The sequence below is a fragment of the Homo sapiens genome, chromosome 12, assembly GCF_000001405.40.
Source record: "Homo sapiens chromosome 12, GRCh38.p14 Primary Assembly".
Classification (NCBI taxonomy): Eukaryota; Metazoa; Chordata; class Mammalia; order Primates; family Hominidae; genus Homo; species Homo sapiens.
In genome coordinates this window covers 61364679-61367143 of record NC_000012.12, presented here as the reverse complement: position 1 = coordinate 61367143, position 2465 = coordinate 61364679, and positions in this window count along the sequence as shown.

The following is a 2465-nucleotide window of genomic DNA, read 5'->3' as shown; positions in this document are numbered from 1 at the left end:
CACTGGCTGATATTCTCTTCCAAGTACTGGAATAAATGTTTTATTTGGATTAATTTAATAAATCCACAAAACAACTTACAGGTAGAAACTCTTATAAGCATTCTTATTATAAAAGTGAGCCTTTGAGAACTTGAATAATTTACTGAGCTACTAAGGTAACATAGCTACTAAGATTTGAAGTTATTATTTTAACCCAGGCAGTCTAAATGTAGAACACGGCTCTGAAACTGAAGTTGCTGTTCAGTTTCCTTGCTGTAATCTTTACTTCAAGGTCCCCCACCCTCTACGTTTCTGAGCATTTCTCAGATAACCTTAGCTGCCTATTCATATTTGAAAGCAAGTTTACAGAATAGCTGATTGGAACATCAATTCTCTCTCCCTTTGGATTATTTGTTCCCATGTCTTGGGTCTTTCTTTTTCTTTAGTCTTTCATTGTAGGAGCATATCTTTAAGAAACATGCTGAAAAACATGGAAAATATCATAGTAGTAAAAAATTAACATCTCAAGAGTGAGTATGAAGTGTAAATTTATACTACCCACTTGTAAATGTATCTTTAAGGAGAAACTGATATTACAATGCTCTGGAACATTCTCAGTGCTAAGAAAAGTACATGAAACAATGAAGGTGAGACTAAATCCTTTATAATAAAATGCAAAAATATTGCATCTGGTTAAACACAGAGATAAGAGTGCTTTATTATCCTTGTTGCAAACTTACTCTGTAAAATATTATCATAAGAAAGATTTATACTATATTTTTTAAAAGAAACCAAGAAAAATTAAAATTAACATATTTAGCATGTAACTCCAGCATTTTAAAGGAAAAAAGGTAGAATAATATTAAAAAAGTAAAAATGTAGAAATTATTTTAAAAACTAGAAGGAATAAACAGAAAAATACAGTAGATGGCATCAGTAATTTAAAAAAATTGTTTAGAGACTACAATACAGAAAAAATTCTGGGAACTTCTATCAGGAGAAAAATAGGTAAGGCATAATTAAGTAATACTCATATTGAAGAAGACAAAATTTTTATATGATAAATTTGTAAAAACATATGAGGTGCTATAAACAATTTTGAACCAACATGTTTTAAATCTTAGAATGGATATTTTTAAAAACCTGTATGTATTTAAGAACAAGAAATAGACAACTTTGATAGGTCTAAAATCTTTAAAGAAAAAAATTAGAAATAAAATCTGCCCACAAAAAAAGCACGAGACTAGATGGTGTTATAAGCAAGTTTAGCAAACCTTTGAGAAACAGACACTTAAGTTCTAATTACTTGAATAATTAATATATCAACTTTCTGTGGTTCATGTTTGCATACTGTATCTTTTCCTAGCCTAGTCATTTCAAACATTCTATGTCCTTATATTTAGGCATATCTCTTAAAAGTAGCATATAATATATGCTACTATATATCCGTTATAAACAAATGGTTCCCAAGAATGGACGGAAAACTTTACCTGATCCACGACTAAAGCTAAAACTTCATACTAAACCCACAAAAGAAATTCACAAGACCAGTGGCCCAGTGGAGCAGGAGTGGAATGGGCCATGTTAAAGTAGTAAGAGAAATGTTTATATAATTAACAGGGTGACATTGGAGAGCAGATTATGTAAGGCCTCTAGGCTATTGTAGGAAAAATAGATTTTTGTTTAATTTTTCAGCTTTTCTCTCATCCTCCTCTTCATTCATTCCTTGTTTGTTATGTTTTTATTCCTTGTTTTGTAGATTCACTTTGTGGATCTTTAATATATTGGGAGAATTATCAAATTTATTCATTTTTAAACTGTCTCATTCTGTCTTATATAATATAATACAGTGGTGTCTCTAAGATGTTTTCAAAGAGACTGAATATTTTAATGGACTGTGACTAGACTATATGTGAAAACAGAACCCAGACCCACAGTCTGCAGCAACCAGCTCAGGAAGCCAAATCATAACCTCTGTAGCCAATTGTCCAGGAAGTGAAACCACAACCTTCATAGCAATTGACCCGAACATAGCCAGGAGTTGATTAAATAACTTTCATGTTCCCTATGTTTTTCCTAATTTTGTTTTACCTTCAACTTAAGATCAACCAAGGGAAGCCAAATATGCATCCCACCTCCAGCTTCCTTATGTCAACAGCTTCTAATCGGGAGACACCTGAAGTCTTCTTTTTTCCACTATAACTTTTTTTCACTTTGTCTGCCTTTGAATCTCTACCAAATGCGAGTGAGTGACTGACTCCTTTGCAAGCTCAAATAAATCACCTTTGCTTGGTCTTATTTGGGTGGTCTTCATTTATTTTCACAGATTTATTACTACTTTTCAATTAGTTATTTATTCCTTTCTTAAACCCACAGGTTATTTTATATTATGTGGTTTTCATACATAGTGATTTTTAAATTATTCTTTAAAAATGAATATGCAGTTTAATATGATAATATTGAAATGTTGAATCTTCTTTCTTGCT